General features: G+C 38.7%; 1 annotated feature.

Annotated features, from left to right (window-relative positions):
• Nucleotides 2,783-3,291: an enhancer, noted in NCBI's record as "OCT4-NANOG-H3K27ac hESC enhancer chr2:200049723-200050231 (GRCh37/hg19 assembly coordinates)". NCBI's record gives its function as "activates a minimal SCP1, AML or CMV promoter by ChIP-STARR-seq in naive H9 embryonic stem cells {active_cell/tissue: H9 hESC(naive)}" and the evidence as "EXISTENCE:reporter gene assay evidence [ECO:0000049][PMID:30033119]".

Raw genomic sequence — 3,291 nt, 5'->3', positions numbered from 1 at the left:
TCTCAGAGTTGTACAACAATCACTACAATTAATTTTAGGACATTCTTACCACCTCCCTCTCCAAATCCATACCCATTAGCAGATTCCCCATTTCCTCCCAACCCTTTCAGTTCCCACCCCCCAGACCCAATCAACCACTAATCTACTTTCTGTCTCTATAGATATGCCTATTAAATAGAAATTGTTCTCCAATACATTCCTGTCCAGATTTTTTAGGACTGGGTTGAGGAAACAGGCACTAACTGGAGCATTTTCTTGGAATAACTGAGACTGTCCTGGAAGGCTCAATAAGCCAAAGAACCTAGAATTGTCATTAGTATTTAAGCTACAGCAGTAGTGCCAAACTGTAGTCAGGTCTAGAAGGTTCGAATTGAACGGAATGTAGTGAAGATGGCCACAAGGGAGACTATCATGCTTGAGAATTCTCTGGCAGGTGATCTTAAGACATAGTCACAAGAGGAGGAAAAAATGATAAAGAGCTAAATAAGTAGATGAAAAAATAAAAAAGAATGACAAGAGAAAGAAAAATAGTAAGTATATGACTAAAGATGGGAAGGGCTTTTTTTTTTTTTTTTTGAAACGGAGTCTCAGCGCTTTGCTCTGTCACCCAGGCTGGAGTGCAGTGGTGTGATCTCAGCTCACTGCAACCTCTGCCTCCTGGGTTCAAGCGATTCTCCTGTCTCAGCCTCCTGAGAACCTGGGATTACAGGCGTGTGCCACCACGCCTGGGTAATTTTTTTTGTATTTTTAGTGGGGACGGGGTTTCACCATGTTGGCTAGGCTGGTCTTGAACCGCTAACCTTGTGACCTGCCCGCCTCGGCCTCCCAAAGCACTAGGATTACAGGTGTGAGCCACCATGCCCAGCCTGGAAGGGCTCTTTTAGCTTATAAGTACTATCTCAAACAGCACTGAGTTTTGTAGTTTGATTGTTTCAAGCCAAGAGAAATTACAGTTTCAATAAGGTTTCCTGTTTTCTAGATTTCTCAGATATGTCTAAACATCCCACTATAAGTAACCACAGAACATCAACCATAGAGTGAATTGTTCCAAGATTCTTGCAGTATTTGGCTTTCAATCACCTTTAAGTGTAGAGTACATTTAAAATTAAATAATCCATGAAGTCATCTAGAAAATAAGAAAACATGTGATTACCATGCATTTATTAGTGAGCTACAGATTCCTTGCTGTTTCAGGCCAGTATGACTACATGTAAGGAAGTCTTTTGTAATAATTCAGCTGTAATAACATGCCTCATTTAGAATGTATTAGGAATATGCTTCTCTCACTGCTGATTTAAAAAAGAAAGAATGTATCAGGAAATTATCATTCATTTGAGTTTATTAGAAAATTTTGAATCAATTACGCCCAATTGCAATTAAATTTCTCCAATTTATCATGCTATACCTTGCATGAGTAGTCAAAGCAGACATAGTATACAAAGTATATAACACAAGGATAGTTTGAGTAATATGGTGGAAAGACTATATCACACTATTGTAAACACCCTGGGATCAAGATCAAATTCTAATGATTTGCACAGCTAAGGGAGTTTGTGGTGTAACACATGGTCTGATTTCCGCTTGTCCTGCATTATGTGTTAGAAATGGTTTGTGAAGGAATTCATCAATTTTGTAGCTTGCTTTATTTAGGCTCTGCACAGAGCATTCTATACTGTATGATTGTTCACTTTGTTTATCTTGTGCAGCTGTTTGCTAGAGAAACATAAGGAGGGGTTTTGAAAACAATTAATTTTTAAAAGAGATTGGGGGTTAGGAATGCTTTGGAGATGTTCGTTAATCTTCTCATTTGAATTTAAAACAGCTTTGAACAGCTAGTTCATTGTTAGGTGTTGTGATTATGAATGGGGCACCTCTGTGTGAAACTACCAAGTTCTTCTTACAAGACCTTCCAAGCAGAAAATAACCTTTTCATTTCCTGTCCTTTACCTCCCAGAAGGGGGGAGGGGATTTGCAAATAAACCCAGCTTCATGAAAACCCAAGAATATATGGTTTAATTGGTTCTTTGAATTGGCCAAATCTAACTACAGGAAGGAGAGTGATCTCTTGACCAAAATATCTGGAGTTCAGATTGCTTTTCTAGAAATTTAAGTGATACGATCATATCCTTTTATTTTAATCTTCAACAGTATTTAATAAGGAAAACATAAAATATAAACAAAGATATAATATAAATATAGAACTAATCCAAACAAATGATAATATTGATGGGAAGATTAGAAATACCATTGTTTAACTGGTCCTCTCATCACATTCTTTCTTTGAATATACCTGCATCATCTAGTTCTCCTGAAGTTCTTCTTTGGAGGTACTTTTTCTTAATGATCTTTCTTCTGAGTCTTACTGTTTATATTGGATTGCAATTTATATTTCATCATCTATTAACTTTATATGTTTATTGAAACTGTAGGGAAAGATCTGAATAAGTATAGTAAATTTTTTTTTTTTTTTTTTTTTGGCAAACTTGATAGATTTGGCACAAGTTACCAGAATTTATAAACATAGCCAAAATGGTCCTTTTAGTGGTCACTCAAAGAGACATTAGTTTTTTGCTTAAAATAGCATGAGGTTTAACATGCACTATAAATGCATAGATACTTTCATGCGCGTCCGTGTGAAGAGACCACCAAACAGGCTTTGTGTGAGCAACATGGCTGTTTATTTCACCTGGGTGCAGGTGGGCTGAGTCCGAAAAGAGAGTCAGCGAAGGGAGATAGGGGTGGGGCCATTTTGTAAGATTTGGGCAGGTAAAGGAAAATTACAGTCAAAGGGGGTTTGTTCTCTGGTGGGCAGGAGTGGGGGTCGCAAGGTGCTCAGTGGGGGAGCTTGATGAGCCAGGAAAAAGACTTTCACAAGGTAATGTCATCATATAAGGCAAGGACCGGCCATTTACACTTCTTTTGTGGTGGAATATCACCAGTTAAGGCAGGGCAGGGCATTTTCATTTCTTTTGTGATTCTTCTGTTACTTCAGGCCATCTCGGCATATACATGCAAGTCACAGGGGATACGATGGCTTGGCTTGGGCTCAGAGGCCTGACATTCCTGCCTTCTTATATTAATAAGAAAAATAAAACAAAATAGTGTTGAAGTGTGGGGGCAGCAAAAATTTTTGGGGGGTAGTATGGAGAGAGAGAATGGGCAACATTTCTCAGGGCTGCTTCGAGCGGGATTGGGGCAGCGTGGGAACCTAGAGTGGGAGAGATTAAACTGAAGGAAGATTTTGTGGTAAGGGGTGATGTTGTGGGGTTGTTAGAAGAAACATTTGTCATG

The sequence above is a fragment of the Homo sapiens genome, chromosome 2 (assembly GCF_000001405.40).
Source record: "Homo sapiens chromosome 2, GRCh38.p14 Primary Assembly".
In the NCBI taxonomy this organism is placed as follows: Eukaryota; Metazoa; Chordata; class Mammalia; order Primates; family Hominidae; genus Homo; species Homo sapiens.
The sequence above is the reverse complement of the archived record's forward strand: the minus strand, read 5'-3'. Positions and strand labels throughout refer to the sequence as shown.